This window comes from Homo sapiens, chromosome 10 (assembly GCF_000001405.40).
Source record: "Homo sapiens chromosome 10, GRCh38.p14 Primary Assembly".
Classification (NCBI taxonomy): Eukaryota; Metazoa; Chordata; class Mammalia; order Primates; family Hominidae; genus Homo; species Homo sapiens.
In genome coordinates this window covers 78,247,197-78,265,512 of record NC_000010.11, presented here as the reverse complement: position 1 = coordinate 78,265,512, position 18,316 = coordinate 78,247,197, and the positions used below count along the sequence as shown (strand labels likewise).

The 18,316-nt window shown below is 48.3% G+C and overlaps 1 long non-coding RNA gene across 1 annotated transcript, besides 3 other annotated features; it reads right to left on the bottom strand.

Moving 5' to 3' along the window:
- Positions 8,592-9,791: an enhancer, noted in NCBI's record as "MED14-independent group 3 enhancer chr10:80015479-80016678 (GRCh37/hg19 assembly coordinates)". NCBI's record gives its function as "activates an origin of replication core promoter dependent on BRD2, BRD4, P300/CBP and CDK7 cofactors, and independent of MED14, by STARR-seq in HCT116 cells {active_cell/tissue: HCT116}" and the evidence as "EXISTENCE:reporter gene assay evidence [ECO:0000049][PMID:35650434]".
- Positions 12,776-13,289: an enhancer, noted in NCBI's record as "H3K4me1 hESC enhancer chr10:80011981-80012494 (GRCh37/hg19 assembly coordinates)". NCBI's record gives its function as "activates a minimal SCP1, AML or CMV promoter by ChIP-STARR-seq in primed H9 embryonic stem cells {active_cell/tissue: H9 hESC(primed)}" and the evidence as "EXISTENCE:reporter gene assay evidence [ECO:0000049][PMID:30033119]".
- On the bottom strand, positions 12,868-16,888 carry LINC00856 (long intergenic non-protein coding RNA 856). Its single transcript, NR_038985.1, has 2 exons — positions 16,443-16,888; positions 12,868-15,236 (listed from the first exon to the last, which is right to left on the bottom strand). It is a non-coding gene; the product is annotated as a long intergenic non-protein coding RNA 856 (long non-coding RNA).
- Positions 15,035-15,104: an enhancer, noted in NCBI's record as "active region_3617". NCBI's record gives its function as "activates an Ori minimal core promoter by ATAC-STARR-seq in GM12878 lymphoblastoid cells {active_cell/tissue: GM12878}" and the evidence as "EXISTENCE:reporter gene assay evidence [ECO:0000049][PMID:35858748]".
- Positions 16,889-18,316: the final 1,428 nt, after the last annotated feature.

Below are 18,316 nucleotides of genomic sequence, written 5' to 3'. Positions count from 1 at the left end.
TGGAGATGGGCCTAGTGGGAATTGTTTGGACCATAGGGTTGGATCCCTCATGAACGGTTTGGTGCCGTTCTTGAGGTAATGAGTGTTCTCAATCTGTTAGTTCAAGAAAGAGATGGTGTGTTTAAAGGAGCCTGGCACCTCCTCCTCTCCCTTGCTCCCTCTTGCCTTGTGATACACTGGGTCCCTTCCACTTTCCACCATGATTGGAAGCTTCCTAAGGCCTCACCAGGAGCAGATGCCGGTGCTATGTGGTATAGACTGATAGATTGAAGAACCGTGAGCAAAAATAAATCTCTTTTCTTTATAAATTACCCAGCCTCAGATAGCAATGCAAACAGTCTAACACATCTTAACACCTACCAACACCATGGGAAAAGAGTATACTCCTTGATCTTATTTCAAAAGACTTCATTTGAACCAAGGCTCTCTGAAAAACTCACTCTCCTTTTGTGAGAGCTCCAGTTCAGCCCTGCCATCACCGTGACAGTTAACACCCCACAACAAGCCATGATTATCAGGAGGCACAGGAGGGGGCAGCCTGCAGGGTGGCCCTTAGTATAACTCCAGGGTCATTTTTATCATCTTGGGAGCTTTGGGCATCCTACAATATTTACCACCCACTCTTGGGCATTGTAAGTTCTCGAATGAATGTGAATTCGGGCTTGGATGAATTACTTGACATCTTGCCACATGAATCTGCCCCACGACAGGTGATCAAGGAGCCATCCATCCAACTGCCATTCACTCATTGATTCTTCAGATATGCAACAAAAGCCTACTGGTTGCTGCAGTCCTCTAAGGGCTTTGGGTAGAGTAGCAAACCCAGCGGTGAGGTCCCCATCCTCACAGAGCTGAGATTCTAATGTGGGGAACAGAAAGTAGTAAACACATGGTGCAGGGATGAAGAGAAGCACTATGGAGAACAATAGACCGGGGGGGTGGGAAGGCTGGTGCATGGGTGGTTTACAGTGTCACAAGAGGACAATTATTCCAACACCAAGGCAGTGCAGCTCCCCTGCTGCATAAGAGCTAACAAAAAGTAAAATACTAGAGAACTGAATAACGGTGTCTAGTCCTGGAGAAGAATGGGGAAGAAAAGGTTACCCCAACATGCTGCACCATAAGTGGAGAGCTGAGGCTAGCACCCCCAGATGCCATCCGTGCTCCCCAGTGCTCAAAACATTGTGACCCAAACACCCCTCCCTCCATGTGCCTGCACAGAAATACCATCTTGTATGGAGTGTTCACCTGCACACACCCCACCACACAGATTTGCTTTCTTTTCTGAGCTTCTGTGCACCCATGCATTGACCCAAACTCTTCTCTGCCCTGAAATGATCTTTCTTCCTTCTCCTTCAAGTGCCAAGCCAGTCTAGGCTCAACTCAGCACCATCCATAAAACTCTTTCTGCTCAGGCCTCTTACTCCTCTGAGTCCCCAGGCCGTGGGACCCTGGTTAATTCCACTCTGCAGCAATGGCATTTCTGGACACACACTAGCTGCCCTGCCACGGGCCTGTTCATGCTGAAAGACAGTGGCATTTTCTGAATGGCCTCAGTGTCCTCTGTGCTGTCTCAAATGTTGCTGTGCACACAGAGAGAGGGAAGGGCGCAGGATTGGGGGGGAGTCCCACTCTGTGTCAGGAACACTGCCTCATTCATCCTCACAGGATGAGGCATGTAGGGCGCATGGCCACATCGCTGGGGTGAAAAGCCATTTGCGCAGGCCCACACCAGTTAGTGATTAAGCTGGGTGCACATGGAGCTCCCCTGACTATAGACTTCTTTCCATTCTCTCATGCCACTTGGTCATCAGAGGTGGTCGATAGATATTTGATGAGCAAGAGTGACTCAACAAGGAAACAGACACACTGTCTCATCCCCAGTCCCAGATGCCTTCCATGGGCCTCCAACTAGGCACATGGCCAGGCTAGGCTTTGAGCTCAGCCCACTGCCTTGCCTCCAGGGAGGAGAGCTCCTCTGGTGCCTTCTGCAGTGTCGTATTTTGAGGAAAGGCCTTTATCCAACCACTGATTTGACTTCTTAACTCTGTCTTCTAGAGAGTTTTCTAGACCCTTCCTCCAACACAGAAAATGGGAACCCAGTTTACAGGTTCTAAGGCTGTACTCAGTGATAGCCTAGAATCAGCAAGTATCAGGTCTAACGGACCAGCCCTCTGCTCTCTTTGCGAGGAAGGGATTTGACCCCAACAGCACAGTTAGCAAATGGCAGGCTGGGCCTAGGCCCCCCAGCTCCAAGCCTACTGTCCTTCCAGCCACGCCTTTGCAGAGCTCCTCCCCCGCTCATTTAAAATGCTGCTGGGCGTGTACTTAACTAGCTGTGGTGGGCTACACTGGAACTTCTTCTTGACCCCATCCTATGGCTGAGATAAAACGTGGCCATTGTCTGCAGATTCCAGAGACCATGTGGACTGTGGGACTGTTCATTTGCCAGTTAATGTGAGGAAGCTTTCGTCACGCAGCCCAGGACACAGACTGTGGATGCTCCCTGAGCATAATCAGACCAGGGCTGTCATTTCACAAGAAACGGGGTCACAATTATGTTAATAGGAGGCACACGGATTTCTCACCTATCTGAAGGGGAGCTTGAGAAGGAATTAATTCTCACAGTGGTGAGGCAGATTTGATTGCTGATGGTTCAGGAGAAATCAGCCCCAGCCTAAAGTGTGAGCCTCTGTACTCCCTGCTCCCCAGCACTCTCCAGCCTCACCCCTCAGAGTGGAATCAAGCCTCCCTCTGCAGAGCCAGCAGAAAATGGGCTGAGGAAAGCCACTGACAGTCAGCAGATGACAACAGAATTTGCAAGATGCAGGAGTAGGAGGAGAGAAACCTCATTACTCTGCAGGGTGGAGTAACTCAGGAGACCCTCCAAAGATGCAGGGAGCCTCCATGCGGCCACAGGACCCAGGCACAGCCCTGTCACCCCTCTGCAGGTCAAGGGGGCAAGATGCCCAAGCAAGGCACAAGGCCCGATTCTGCCCTTTCCCTTCCCCTCCTTCCTCCAGACCCTTCAATATAGAATCGATTAAAAGGTCATCACAGTTGCAAGTTGTGCTTGATTTGGGGAGGAAGGCAAAAGTTGGCTTTGAGAAATGGGGACTTTTCACCTTCATGGCTCCCTAGTGGGCACTACAGCCTCCTGCCTAGGAACTACTGAGTAGTGGCAAGTAGCTTCCTACAGACGGCTGCAAGGAATACCCCACCCACCCACAGCCCAAACAATCCCCAACAAGGGGTTCTTAGGGACAGGCCACATGAAACAGGACAGAAACCTGCCAGTCACAAGGGTTACAGCACTAGTTTGTTGCAGGATTCACAGACCTAGGTGAAATCTCTGTCCCATGCAGAGCCCAAGATAATGTTAGAGGAAAGAAACCTTGTGAAGCCTACCTACACCATGGCCACCCCCCGAGTGGGCGCGTGCTCTGCCCCAACCCTGCTAGGCTGTGAGGGCAGCTGAGGATGGGGCAGGGAAGGAGATCCATCTCCCATGCTAATTGTCAAATCATAAACCTGTTTCAAGAGGCCTGATCTCCATTGCCCACTGCCAAGCTCACCTAGGCCCATCTACTCCAAAGAACTCATTAAAACAATGACCCCTCAACAAGAAGTCCTGCCTGAAGATTGCCCATCTCAATTTCATTCAAGCCAGAAACCCCAGACTCAAGATTTCCCTCTTGCTCCCCACCCCACCCCCTTTCATCTTGCCCACTCACTTACTGACTCAGATTATTTGCTACTGGGGACCTACCATCTGCTAGGCACTGTTCTAAGTGCTGGGGATACAACTGTGAGCCACGGCCCCTGCCCTCCTGAAGTTTACATTCCCATGAGGGGTCCAGGCATGCAACCCAGCATGGCCACGCAGCTGGAAAGTGCTCTGATGGGAGAAAGGCAGAGCGAGCATTGCAAAGCATGGGAGAGAGTTGGAGGGCTGGAGAGAAAGGAAGAGAGTGCTCCAAGTGGTGGGGATGCCTCTGCCAAATCCTGCGGGTCAGAAGAGCTGAAAGTTCAGCACACCCAGTGGTCAGCATTTGAGGTGAGGAGTTGCAGGGAGACAGGTAGCGGTCAGATCATAGCCAGCCTCCTAAACCACTTTAAGGAGTTTGGAATTCTCCCAAGAGCAACACAGTCTTCAAAGGCACTAACATAATCAGGTGCATAATGGAGGAGGATTTTTCTGGCTACAGAGAATAGGGGAGATCAGAGAGAGCTGCATAGAGGAGGCCAGTTCCAAAACTGTTGTCACGGGTGAAGGCAGAGGTGAGGAGAGGGCGGTGAAAATGGAAAGGCGGCCTTAAGAAGAAGCTAGAACTTGTAACATGCAGTAATGAGTAGCCACAGGAATGGGAGTGGAACCAAAGATACTTCCAGTAACTATTGAGCACTTACGGTGTGCCAGCCACTGCCATAAGCTCTTAGTGGCATCATCTCGTTTAATCCTACAACAGCTTTGTGAAGCAGATATGGCTATTATGCCCACCTTACATATGTGGAAACTTAGGTTCATAGAGGTTTTCCTCTCTGACTTACTTTAGGACAAAGAGCTAGCAACTGGCAGGACCAAGATGATTCAAGGTTTCATGAGAACCAGGTGGGCGTGCATGTCATTGCCCTGAAAGGAAGAAAGGACCCAATGGGCTTGTCTGAGGACTGGAGGACATTAAGGCAGCAATGAACAGGGGAATATGTGAGTCTGAAGCTGAAAGGTAAAAGAGGTAGCTTTGGGAGACTCTGTGTCTAGAGAAAGGAAGCTGCTGAGGAGGAGGAGGAGGTGCTCCATATTACACATGTAGAGTAAGAAGAGAAGAGACCAAGGTCAGAGCTCTGGGAAGCACCAGCATGTTGGAGGTGGGCAGAGCAGGACGGGGAAAGAGAGGGTCAGCTGTATGCCTGCAGTTCATTCTCTACCTGTAGGAGAGACACCCCAGGCAAGACAGAAAGATGACCCCATCAAATCCCCTCATAATCCTTCCAGGGACAGAGCCTCTGGCAAACACTCTAATGATGTTGGCCAGCAGAAGCTCTCTTATCTATGGAATGCTTTTAGCGAGACGTGCCCTATCTGCCTAAAACCGCTCGCGGTAAACAAACCTGGAACCTATGGATTTATGTCAGATGGCTCCCTGGAAAATGTTGTGCAAGCTATGAAACTAGCAGAGAAAAAAGTGAAGATGTTTCAGGACCCAAATAGCTACGCTTTCAAGAAGGATGGCTCGCGTGTAGCACGTAGAGACCCCTAGTGATAAGTCTGGGCCAGGGCACAGCCTAATGTGGCAAAAAAGTCCTGGGAGCTGTATTGTGGTTCAGACTTCACACTTTACCCGGGCCTCACAATTATTTGTATCCTTGCAGTTATTAGTAAGGCTTAGTACTGGTTGAGATCTCTGATTCTTATGAATCCAACTGGACAAGCTGACCCTTTTTATTTTAGCTCAATAACAGAAACTTGGTAAACTGTGCTACAATCATTTGAATTTTCTGCCTAGCTCTGGTGCTGAGCCAGGCTAGTGGAGTAGCTATTTGATTATCCTGGAGGATAAATACCTAGAGACAGAAGAGGAGCCAGGCTAAGATGTGGATTTTGTCCAAACAGAAGCAATAGGACACCACTCAAGGCCTGAATGGAGAAGAGTGACAAGGTCAGACTGAAACTGTTCCTAAGTCACCATGTGAAAAATAGTGGGAGAAGGCACACTTAGAGGCAGATAACCCAGGGAGAGGCCCATCCAGTAGAAAATCTGGGGGGCCCTGGACAGGGCAGGAACAGTGGAAGTGAAAAGCAACTGGGAACTTAAGACCTACATAGGGGTTAGAATGTACAGGACTTGAAGATTGGTTGGGTCTTTGGCGGGGGCAGTGGAAAAGGAGGAGTCGACGTTTCTCCCTTGCATAACTGGTTGGGCAATGGTGCCAGTCACAGGGAAGAGGAACATGGGACAGCAAGCATGGAGATGATGAGAAGTTCTGCTTTGAATGTTTCCACTGTCTGGCACATCCTCAAGAAGGTATCTTGTAGGTAGTTGGATATGTGGTTCTGAAGCTCAGGAGCAATGACTGGGCTGGAGATAGAAAGTGGACTTGTCTTGGTTCATTCATGCTGCAACAATAAAGTACTTGGGACTGGGTAATTTATAAGGACAGAGATGTATTCCTCACATCTCTGGAGGCTGGGAAGTCCAATATCATAGCGTCAGATCTGGTGTCTGGTAAGAGCTGATCAACTCTGCTTGCAAGAGGGTGGCTTGCTGCTTCATCCTCACATAGCAGAAGGACAAAAGGCAAAAGGGGCCCAGATGCTTCCCTCAAGTCCTTTTAAAAGGACACTAATCCCATTCATGAGGGTGGAGCTCTCATGACTTACCACCTTCTAAAGGCCCCACCTCTTAACCCTATCACATTGGGTCTTAAGTTTCAACACACAAATTTTAGGGGAACACAGACATTCAAACCTTAACATTCTACCCCTGACCCCTCAAAATTCATGTTCTTCTCACATGCAAAATACATCCATTCCATCCCAATAGCCCCAAAATTCTTAACTCGTTCCAGCATCAACTCAAAAGTCTAAAGTCCTAAGTCTCATCTAAATATCATCTAAATCAGATATGGGTGAGACTCAAAGGTGTGATTCATCCTGAGGCAAACTGCCCTCTACCTGTGAGCCTGTGAAACTGAACAAGTTACGTGCTTCCAAAATACAATGGTGGGACAGGCATAGGATAGATGTTCCCATTCCAAAAGGGAGCAACTGGAAAAAAGAAAGGAGTAACAGATCCCAAGTAAGTCCAAAACCCAGCAAGGCAAACAGTGTTACATCTTGAAGCTTGAGAAGAATATTTTTTGACTCCATGTCCTGCCTTCTGGACACAACGAGTCAGGGGTTGGGCCTCTGAGGTTCGCTACCAAGGTTGACAGCCTGTGCCCTCTGAAGTGGCAGCCCAAGCTGTACCAGGGCCCTCTTGAGCCACACTTGAGCCTCAGCTGGGGTGGCTAAAGAGCACTGCACCAGAAGTATGAAGCAAAAATTGGAGGTGGCTCTGGGCAGCAAGCCCAAGGTCCCACAGGCACACTGAGCCCCTCCCTTGAAACAGTTCTACCACCCTCAAGGCCCTGGCACTCTGGGCCTGTGATGGATGTGGCAGCCCTGAAGATCTCCAAAATACCTTTAGGGCCGTTCTTCCAGTGTCCTGATGGAAAGCATCTGGCTTCTTTCTGTCCCTACTAATCTGATCAAACAGTCGCTTAGCCACATTGTAGATGCTGTCTCCTGAACACATTTTTTCAGGTGTTACAGGCTGAGAATTCTCCAACTCTTTGAGTTCTGCTTCCCTTTTGAGTATAAATTCTATATTTAATTTGCTTCTCTCTTCCCACATTTTACTCTAAGCAGTCAAGAGAAGTCATGATGCACCTGTATGAGGTGTTGGGGCTGAGATCTGACCTGCATTCTAGCAACCACCCTGGATGATTTTTAGACACCTCAGAAATCACTGAGGTAAGGAACAGGCAGAGGGAGAATATTCCCTGACTGAAAGGGAAGAGGAGGGATAATAAAATCAGAATAATTCAGTGTCATGAAAACCAAGGAAAGATGTTTGCAGGAAGGAACTGTTGAGGGTGTCAAACGTTTCTGCAGGTTTAAGTAAAGTAAGGACTGAAGTATCCCTGGGTGTGGGAACGTGGAGGGCAATGGTAACATGGTCAGATCCATTTGGGAGGAGTATAGGCAGAAACCCTGTTGAAATAGATGCAGGACTGTGTGGGAGGAGTATAGCTCATTCTCTCAATAAGTTTGACTGTGAGTTGGGAAGACAGTGATAAGGCAGAAGCTAGTGGGTAAGCTGCAAAGGGAAGGGAAGAAAGAACTCCATTGTAAATGTGGACAAGATGCAGACATACCTAAATCCTGATGGGAATGGCTTTGAAGATAGAGCAATGAGTGGGACCCTTTAGACCCTTAAGGAGCATGTGATTCCATTAGCCTTGGTCAGTCAGAAGCCAGTGAAACCAGGACAAGGAGGCAGACAATGTTTTTACATTCAGACTTTTGTAGCAAAAGGTTGGTGTCCCCATCTAACATCTTCTATTTTCTCTGCAAAGCAGCAAGAGAAGTTAACTGCAAAGTCAACGAGGTGAAGGTGATAGCAGAGATTTAGAGGGCAAAACAAGCAACAGAAGTGAGGCCATGCGAATGATGTCCCCAATTCCAACAGTGAGTATAGTTTGGCTCAGGATGTATCATAGATTAGAGATGATTTTGTCCAAGTCAACAGAGCCTAGCCAGAGTGATGTTCTGCTTTCTACAATTATCATACTTGTACCCTTCTAAGTCGCATAAAGTCACAGACCCTGTAGTAAATAGAACTTCCTTTCTCCACTTGTCTCCTCAGAGGGGCCAAATGAATGAAACCCACTCTTGATCCAGAAGTCTTGGGAGAAGGATCAGAGGAGGATTCATCCCCAACCTTGGTGCACAGGATTTTGGGGTGCTGCTTCTGTGCTCAGCCTTAGTCATTTAGAAATCCTTAGAGAGCCAACTCACAGCCTTTCCAGTAGCAAAAAGCCAAGTAATTGGAATGGTGGTCATTCCGGCCAAATCCTGGCCCCCAGAAGGTCATGACAATTACATCCACCCTAAGTCACCCCATCCTGGAAGCAAAGCCCCGGTGGTACAAGATCCAACTACAGAGCCAGAAGCAGAAGATTCAGATGAAGAACAACTGCCAGCAGTTCTGTTCTCTTTTTGTTCACAACTTCCAAATAAAGAGGCCCTTTTTCCTTCTCTAATGTCGTTGTTGAGGGTTTAATTTCATGAAAGCCTACAGGGGGTCTCAGGAGAATTAAAGCAGGCTCCATGTAAATTACTCAAGTGAACATGAAAGTCAATCAGCAACACCAAGCGAAAAGGCTCAAAGGAGGCAGAAAAGGGGGTCCACAGGCAGCCAGGGGAGGTGCGGTAACCATGCACAGGCCCTGAGTCTCAGTCTGGCTGTGCACCAGGCCTCCTTGAGGAGCTGTTCAGTAGAAGGGCCTGGTCCCACTTGACCTCATCAATCAGAATCTCAGGGCGTAGAGCCCTTAGATCACACTGATACACTCCTGACCTTGAGAACCTGGGGTCAGGGCCTGACCAAGCCCTGCAAACCAGAAATGCAGTGTCATTGATGGCCAGACTTCACAGTCTCCAAGATGCTGACTCATAGCTCACAAGGACGATGAACAAAGCCCAAATGCCAGCTTACTCATTGCAAACGGTTGCACTGCCTGACCAGCACATTCTTTCCCTGTTGGCTAGCAAACACAGGAAGTCAACGCTTTCGGACATTGCTGGAGGAGCCAGTGGCATCAGGCTCTAGTGTGTTCTTGTTCACAACTGACAGAAGCCCATAATGCAGTCCAGATATTCCACAGGAAAGCGTGCCTCTGGGCTGCCTCATTTTCTGTGCTCCTATTGGCTGCCAAGGCTCCCTTCTGATGGACATGGCCTTCATGTACATTCAGGAGGTGATGTCTAAGCTTTCTGGGCCACTGCCTCTTGCAGGTGACTTTGTGTCTTTCTTCTGCTCCTTTTGAATATAATGGCTCAAAGGGCCATTACATTCCCCTGACATCCAAATCCTTGGAGACATTTCACATTTCAAGTGTAGTGCTCCATCCCCGTTTCACAGGTAAGGAACAGAGGCCAACCTGGGTAGGTGTCAGTTCCAGAGCCAAATGGCTTCCTCCTAAGAAAGGCTGAGGTCTGAGCTAAGCAGGTGGTGGTGGAGATGGAAAAGCAGTAAGAGGCTGGATTACATCAAAGAGGCAGAGGACGACGGCTTCTAACTTGGAAACTGGGTCGGTGGGGTGATACTGACAAGACCAGGATGGCAGGAGAGTGTGCAGGCAGTTGTTGAGTGGTGAGGAAGGCTGTGCTGCCCCTCAATCAGCTGGACAAACAGCACATTCACTGAGGACCATGCTGAGAGCTGCTAGCGGGGTGTGGAAGGGGACAAATGATGTGTGTCTGTTCTGACAAAGCTTTCAGAGCACAACGGGCCTATGACTAACCCTGTCAGTTTATGACTGTTGTGTACCTGTTCCTGGTGAGAACTCATCTGGGCTGTGCTGATAGGACAAGAAAGAGCTCACAGCTGACTACGGCAGTCTCCCTGTGGCTCAGGCATCCCTGTGGAGAGACTCATCTTCCCAGCACCAAGTCAACTATCAGTCAAGACTCTGAGTTGCAGCTTAAGCTGGCTTAATCCAGAAAGAGAATGTAAGATTTCATATAGTAGACAAGTCTGCATGTAGGTCTTCTGGCTTCAGGTCCGGCTGGATCCAGAGGCTCAAACCCCATCCTCTGGACCTGTTTTCTCTCTCTCACTCTTTGATCCTCTCTCTGGTGCACATCTTGGCTTTGTTTTTCCCCTGTACTACACTCACTCTCAGCACACTCTCCCCACTTGGACTCCAAAAACTCCAGTTTGACAGCAAGTCCAGAAAGAGAGTTCTTTCCTCTGTACAACCCCATATAAGACCCAGCATGGACTTTGCCCATAGACCCAACCCTGAACCAATTACTGTGGCCAAGGGGAATCCGATGCACTGATTTGCCAGGCCTGGGTCCATGTCCATCCTGGAGTTAATCCACCCAATCCACCTGGACTCAAAGTGGGGATGGAGTAAATTCCTGAGAAAAAAGGTGTTCTGCTGCCAGAAAAGGGAGGTGAATGTTGGGCAGGCAATGGATGCCTACTATTGTAACAAGCAAAGAGCCCTGTTTAGGTCCAAGGGGAGAGCGATGATGGTCAGAAACCTTCTGGGCCCAGGACCACCCCCTAGGAACCCACCTCCCTCTTTACAGTGCAGCTGCTCTGCTAGCATCTACAGGCTTCAACCCTCAGTAGAAAAGACCCCAAAGGTTTTATGAGTGGGGTGTTTGTTAAGGAAGAAAACATGGAAAACTGAAAGAGATGGGAGAGGGCTTCTCCCAGCAGTCTTATTCCCATTAAAAATTACAGCAAGAAGGAGCTGGGTTTGCCAGAATAAGGTCAGTATCAGAAAGAGGCACAGGTGGGGGTCATTCAGGGCAAAGGAGAAAGGAAGTTTCTGATAAAGCAGGTCTGTAGGGGAGGAAGAAGAACGATGACAAGGGGAAAGGGGTGCCATGGAGGAAAGCCATGAAATAGGGCTGGGTTATGGGTGCAGCCTTTTCGAAATAATGAAAACAGAAAACTTTCTGAGACCTTACTGCCTCACAGCAGGGAACTGCATGGCTCAGATTTCATACCCGGACTTTCCATCAATTCCCCTCTGGCTTGTGAATAGCATACCACAGGATAGAGAATGAGATGAGAGCTAGGAAAATCTAGGTTAGTGCTGGGACAGCTCCATTTCCCATCTAGGGCCAGCATGGGCCCCTCCAGGAAGCCTGCCCTACACACACACTGTTCCCCAACCCTGGAGAGCCTTCCTCTCCTCTCAGTTCCTAAGCCCTCCCCAGTTTCTCTACTACATCCACATTTCACGGAAGATGGTCTTACCTGCTCCACTGGGTCTTAGAAGACCAGTTCACAACACTGTGTAGTTCAGAACTAACTAGGAGTAACTGTTAAAAATACAGATCCTTGGGCCCATCCTTGGAAATTCCAATTTGACAAGGCTGGGGTGGGCCCCAGGCATCTGTATTCTCAACAGGCTCCTTGGGGTCTGCTGAAGTAGAGCCACATCGGAGAACCACTGTCTTACCCGGATTGCTAAAGCTGGAAAGGAACTTCTCTAAGAAGTGAAAGCTGTCAACTAGAACCTGGGCCAGCACACTGTGTCCTGCAGGCCCAACCCACCCTGCTACTTGTTTTTTATCAATAAAGCTTTATTGGAACACAGCCACACCCATTCATTTACATGTCTTCTACCACTACTTCCACGGTATCATGGCAGAAGTCATGTGGGCCAGAAAGACAAAAATATTTACTCTCTGACACTTTCCAGAGAAAGTTTGCCTCCTCCTGAATTAGAAGGTAATCTCTGAGGCCCAGAAATGTATCTCTCTCTGTCAGAGATTTGGAACCCGAAGAACCTGCTTTTTCCTCTTTTTGTCCATGGTCTCACTGCCTCCCCATGGTTTGGGATGTGTTCAGGGCATTTGTTGTTTCTTCTACTCAGAATCCATCGTTCTTCTGAAAACAGCCTCTTAACCTTGGGGGAACTCCTGGCCCTCATTGGATAAGATCTCAATATAACTGTCAATCAAAACACCCCGCCCTCTCCTTGGGCATGGGACCCAAGCTGAGCCAATTCTATGTTCACTTACTGGAATTTAAATCTTGAGCTGAGAAAAGAGCCATTGACAGCCATTAGGTCTCCTTCCTTTCACCACGGAGCCGGAAGGGAGCCCGCTCCCAGGTCCCTGCAGCTGCCCTGGTTATCTGTCCCTCAGACAGCCAATTTCTCAGCCTTTTCTGTGATTCTATGGGTAGCCCCATCTCCTCCTAAAATATTCCTTTTTATAGCAAATTAGACAGAATTTAAACCAGGTGTTTACACCCCAGAAAATCCCAACGGATGCCAAATGCAGGGATTGGATTAGGCCATGAGGCATGCATCTGCCCATTTCACAGATGGACACCTGGCCTCCAGGCAGGAAAAGCAACAGTCATGAGAAGAATCCAGACCTCTGTCCTGTTCCCACAATTCCTCTTATCCCAATGTCACCCTTGATCATTCAAAGTCAATAGCATCAGACAGCATCAATCCCAAAATACAGGCATCATTTTAGAAATTAATAAATACGTAAGGAGGAGCCCTCCTCACACAGAGAGCAGTCATGACAACTCTATAGAAAGAACGATTCCCAACGAGAGCTGTGTGTGTATGTCATGTAATATCAAGAATTAAAAAGCATCAAAAGATCAAGTGGGAGGAACATTAAATATGAATGGGATGAAAGACACATTTCTGTGCACGGAATAATGACTTTAATGAGTTTCCTCACCCAAGTCACGGCATCATAAAGTACAAAAGCCGGGAAAGGGATTGAGGAGGGGAGCGGGGAGTGCAGGGGAGGCTTTGTGTGTGAAAGCGAGATGAGCAGGTAGGTAGGGGAGGAAAAGACAAGAGCTGAAAGAACTGTCAGGGTGAGTTCCGGGCCCTGATGCAAGTCGCCAGATTCCCAGGAGGTGCCTATGGGCACAGAGCAGCAGGACCTCCAGCCCCGGGGCAGCTGACAGTCCCCGGAGCCCCACAGAGTCCCACTGTGACCCAACCCTCGCCCCAGCCCACCTGGACAGAAGTAGTGTGGGTGCCAATCAGTTGGCAAAGCACCTCTGCTGACCTTGGCCACCCAGGGTAACCAGATGGGAGCCATGCTTGGAGACGGTGATTTCCCCAGCGGGCCAGGAGCAACTACACATATGCTATGATCAGAATGCCTGTGTCCCCCCAAAATTCATGTTAGAATCCTAACCCCCAAGGTGATGGTATGGGGAAGTGGGGCCTTTGGGAGGGGATTAGGTCATGGGGGTACAGCCCTCATGAATGGGATTGGTGACCCTATTTAAAGAGGCCCCAGAGAGAACCCTGACCCCTTGCTGTGAGGCCACAGTGAGAAGGGGACGTCTATGAATAAGGAAGTGGGTCCTCACCGAACACTGAACCTGCGAGAGCCTTGATCTTGGACTTCCAGGCTCCAGAACTATGAGAAATAAATTTCTGTTGTTCATAAACTACCCAGGCTATGGTATTTTGCTGTAGCAGCCTGTACAGACCGAGATAACACAGAAGGACATGACATAAGTTTTAAAGGCAGACAAACCCTGGCCGCCAATCCTGGGGCTGTCACCTCCCGGCTGTGAGGCTCAGAGCAGGCAATTTAACATTCCTTCAACTTAAGCTTCCTCGCCTGTGAGGTGGGATGCTGTATTTTCCTCACAGTGCTGTTGGAGGATTAAGTGAGAGGACACACAGAAGCCTGGCCATGAAGAAGATTCCCAGTAACCATCAGTCCTCTTGCCCTCACCCTCCCGCAGGCCATGCACACAGTGGCCGTCCAGGAAGTAGTTGTTTCCAATGTTATTCAGAGTCCACTATCTTCTGCCACGTTCACAGTAGCTCAGGAGACCAGGAAAGCTCGATTGCCTGTTCACACCAGAGACAGAAAGCCGCAATGGCAGGCTGGCAGTGAGGAAAGATGTCTACCTTTGTCCAGCCTTCCACTGACTCAGATGAAGCTGAAGTCAGTGCATGGCAGGCCCGTGCAGAGCCAGCCCAGAGCCCAGGGTGCAATGACTTGGAACAGGTGCATTTCCATGACAACCTTCTGCTTCCACAATGATTGTCATCTTCCTCCTGCATAAGGAAACCCCCCAAAATGCCCAAGCAACATCCATTGACTTCTCAGCCTCCAGCAGTCCAAAGCGAGGCCTGCAGCACTGCAGGCATGGCTGAGTTCCGTGGAGCTGATTGGGCAGTCCACGAGAGGCAGAGACGAAAGTTCCTGCCTCGTCTGCATCATCAGACTGACATGCCAGGAAAATGGTAACAGTAAGAATGACAGAAAGGCTTAAATGGCACTAACTGTGAACCAAGAGCTCTGCATATAATAACTTACTTAATCCTTACAATAACTATGCTAGATAGATTTTATTATGCCCATTTTATAGAAAAAGAAACTGAGACACAGAAAGGTTAAGTAACTTATCCAAGGTCATATAGCAAGTGCCAGAGATGGATTCCAACCGGGATCATCTGGTTCTAAAGTTCATGCTTCTAACTCTGAAAAACTTCATGGAAATAAGCCTATCAGAAGAGGAAGCTGGTCAGAAGAAGGCTGGGATGCAGCGGGTGGTAAGTACCACTTAGAAAGAAAGCAGAGCGTGAAGCCCAAGGAGCCTTTGTTTGCCATCACAGATGCCACTCAGGAGATGCAGCGCAGGGACTGGAGCTTCAGCAGATGATGCAGTCCTAGAGCCTTTGCCACACCTCAGGTTGTTTTTATTGTTCCCTATTTCTCTGCAATGACCAACAGCAAAGCAGTTAACAAGGAAGTCCTGTGGCTTACCAAGGAAGGAAGTCATGGGGCCACCATAACCCGTCTTGCAGCCCAGCTTGGTGGGGTGTTGGGGAGGGATGTCACAGATGTCCATACCCCACCTAGGAGCCAGGGCAGGTTCGGCTGGGGCACTAGGTAGACTTCGGAACTGTGGCAGGATATCCACGTCAGATCTAGATTCAAGCTGTAATAATAATTTATTTGTATCATTGTAATTATTTGTTTAACGTCTCCCAATTGGCTCTATGTGAGAAAGTGAGTGAAGCTATGTCTGTCTTGTTCAGTTCACATCCCCAGCTGCTGGCTTAGAGCCTGGTGTATAGTAGGTACTCAATAAATATTTATTACATCAACGAGCAAAGAGAATAAGTATAAGCCAGGGTTTCTCAACCACAGCACTATTGGCACCTGGGGCTGGATAATTCTGTTTTTAGAGGCCTGGACTGTGCACTGTAAGTTGTTTCAGCAGAGTCCTTGGCCTCTGCACGTTAGATGCCAGCAGGACTCCCTCCTCGAAATAAGAACCAAAAATGTCCCCTGGGGGGCAAAATTGCCCCCCAGCTGGGAATGACTAATATAAACCAATATTCTTGGCTAGTGCCACTAATTGAAAGAGAGAAGCCAAATTTAATCTGCATATGCAGTGGGCAAGGGGGAATCTGAGCCCTAAAAACCAGGAGGGGCTGAGAGGAAGAAGGTGTGAAAGTCGGGGCCACCCACTGAGCTCTCAGATGACTACCAAGTGCACCCTCCAGTTTGTCTCTTGGGTTGTAAGGCATGAGGGCGATTGTGCTGACTTTAACATACAGAATAGGGTAGGTGGGAATGAAGGGGGTGATGGCAGCGTCCAGGAGAGAGAGGTGGACCCAAGACCAGACACCAAGGCAGGACAAAAACAGCCCAGGAGTGGGTCTGAGAACAGATTGGGCAGCAGAAATCCCCACGCAGTTCCCGAACAAGGAATCTTTTGACAGGTGGCCTTGCAACACCGACCCTCTCTTGTCTCCACTTTGAAGCCTGCCCTGTGCAATGTGGCCTCACACCCAGGAGGCCCTCAGATCAAGGTGGTCTTGGCAGATCCTCTAGGAGGGATTAGACCGTGACATTACAGCTACATGACGGCCTCGTTCTTATTACACACACACTCGCCCTGTCTAAGCTTGCGAACTCTGATTTGTTTATTTCTGAAAAACTGTCTCCACGAAGACACCAAGCTGGGCTGCGAGAGATAGCACTGACTCAGCCATTTCCCCATCCTCAGCATAAAAGGATCTAAAAAGAATAATTTAAGCTTCTCTGGAATGAGATCATTTAATGAATCTTCTTGATGCTAAGAGGTTTTATATGCCTTTTTAAAAACCCTTCCCCAAGCACGGAGCTATGATATTACCTTGGAGAGCAGAGAGATGAAGTGATACACGTATGCACAGCACACAGGAGGAAGGAGGTGGTTTCCTTGGCAACAACATCCATGTTCTGGCTTCCCTCGGCTAAATTGGAATATATTGAAATATCTGCTTTGGGCGCCTCTTTTGCGAAGGGAAATGAGTGGTTTTCTATTCAGGCACTCTCAGAACCGCGAGCCAGCAGCTGGGGAGCGATGTTCTGTGAGTTCGATGCATCTGAATGGGGCAAGGCCGTTAGCAAGCTGGCAGAAGTCCCCAGCATTCCTTTGCAAAACCAAACCATCGTTTCCTCAGCCAAGGGAAAATGAAAGCAGCGAACACATGAGGTTCGACTGGCCGGACAGATAGGCTAGGACTCTGTCTCACGCAGTCTTTCTATGGCTACTGCTCTGTAGCTTTCCAAACATACCCAGCTCGATAGATCAGACTCCAAAAGCCTACTCACGATGCGCTTAAAATGGGGAGTGGCTGTAAGAAAAATATAGACCTATCGAAAAAAGGTCCTCAAATCTGATCTGCTCAAAATCCTTGACAATAGGGAGGCAGCTATGCCCCTAAAACACAGTGCCTGGCACCGAGGAGTATGTTAACATCATGTTTGTGGAATTGGACTTGGACTCAGGCAGACCTCGGTTTTGGCCCTGGCTTCACTATTAACATTCCACATGACATTGCACATGTTCCATAAACCCTCTGGCCTCAGTTTCCTCCTCTCTAAAGCAGAGACAAGCATCCCTTCCTATAGAATTGTGAAGATTAAATGGGGTGACCTGTAAAATGCCTAGCATGAAGGCGGCATTCCATTATGGTTACTTTTCCCCACCAAGAAACAAGAAGCATTCTGTTTCTTTCAGATAGGTGAAATTTACAGAAAAGAACAGTGTCTTAGGGAGAGCAGGAACAACCTCACCCAAGGAGCCAAACTCCTTTCCATTTTTATTTTCAGGGTGCTTTTGGAGAGCTGAGACAGCCTAGGTTGGGAAGTGTCTGGATCAGGATGTCAGAAGGGCCAACTCAGTCATAACCACAGAACCAGCCACAAGCCTCAGGGGAAATGGGACAAGGAGACAGCGAGGGTCTGAGGTCTTGGCAGGCCAGTGGCAGGTAGCACCACAGAGACCAATGGGAGCATCAGCCATCAGCTGGGGCCAAGGAGGGGATGCTGAAAGGGCAGGGAGGTGAGGTCTGCTGGGGAGGAGGACCAGCCCCACACATCAGGGACACAGTCTTTATAACCGGCTCTCTATTTAAAGACCCTCACATAAGATTGTACACTATGTTTTGTTGCAATAGCTCATACCTGTCACTCCTAAGAAGGTCTTTCATAAGACTCAGTTAAAATAGTTGCTTCAATGTAAACACATCAGGACCAAGGATTTCCCATTAGAAGCACAGACTTTAATTCCTAGACTGTCATTCTTTCTAAGAAGTCTTATGAACACAAAAAGGCATTTCAGTTCTATGTCTAATATTTATTTGTGTGCCTTTGGGGGAAAAAAAATATTTTCTAAGCCTTGTACTTGTGCTGTACACAATAACCGCCCTTTCCTAAAGTCACAGGACAGCAGTGAGAGTAAAATTAAAAGGCGGGCAGCATAGTGAGTGGGAACACACCATCTGTGTCTTTATATCATATGATTTTATGTATTCTGACCATCTGTGAAAGAGAGGTTTGCTACTTGGCTGAAGAATGTACAAGCTCAGGCCCTTTCCCCCTGGGAAGGTAAAAAAAAAAAAAAAAAAAAAAAAAGAAGAATAAAAATTACAATAATAATTCAAAAGATCCTCTAGAAAAATAAACTTCTACTGCTCACTAATAAATTTCTGAAAAAAGAACATCACTAAAGGGATATTTGTT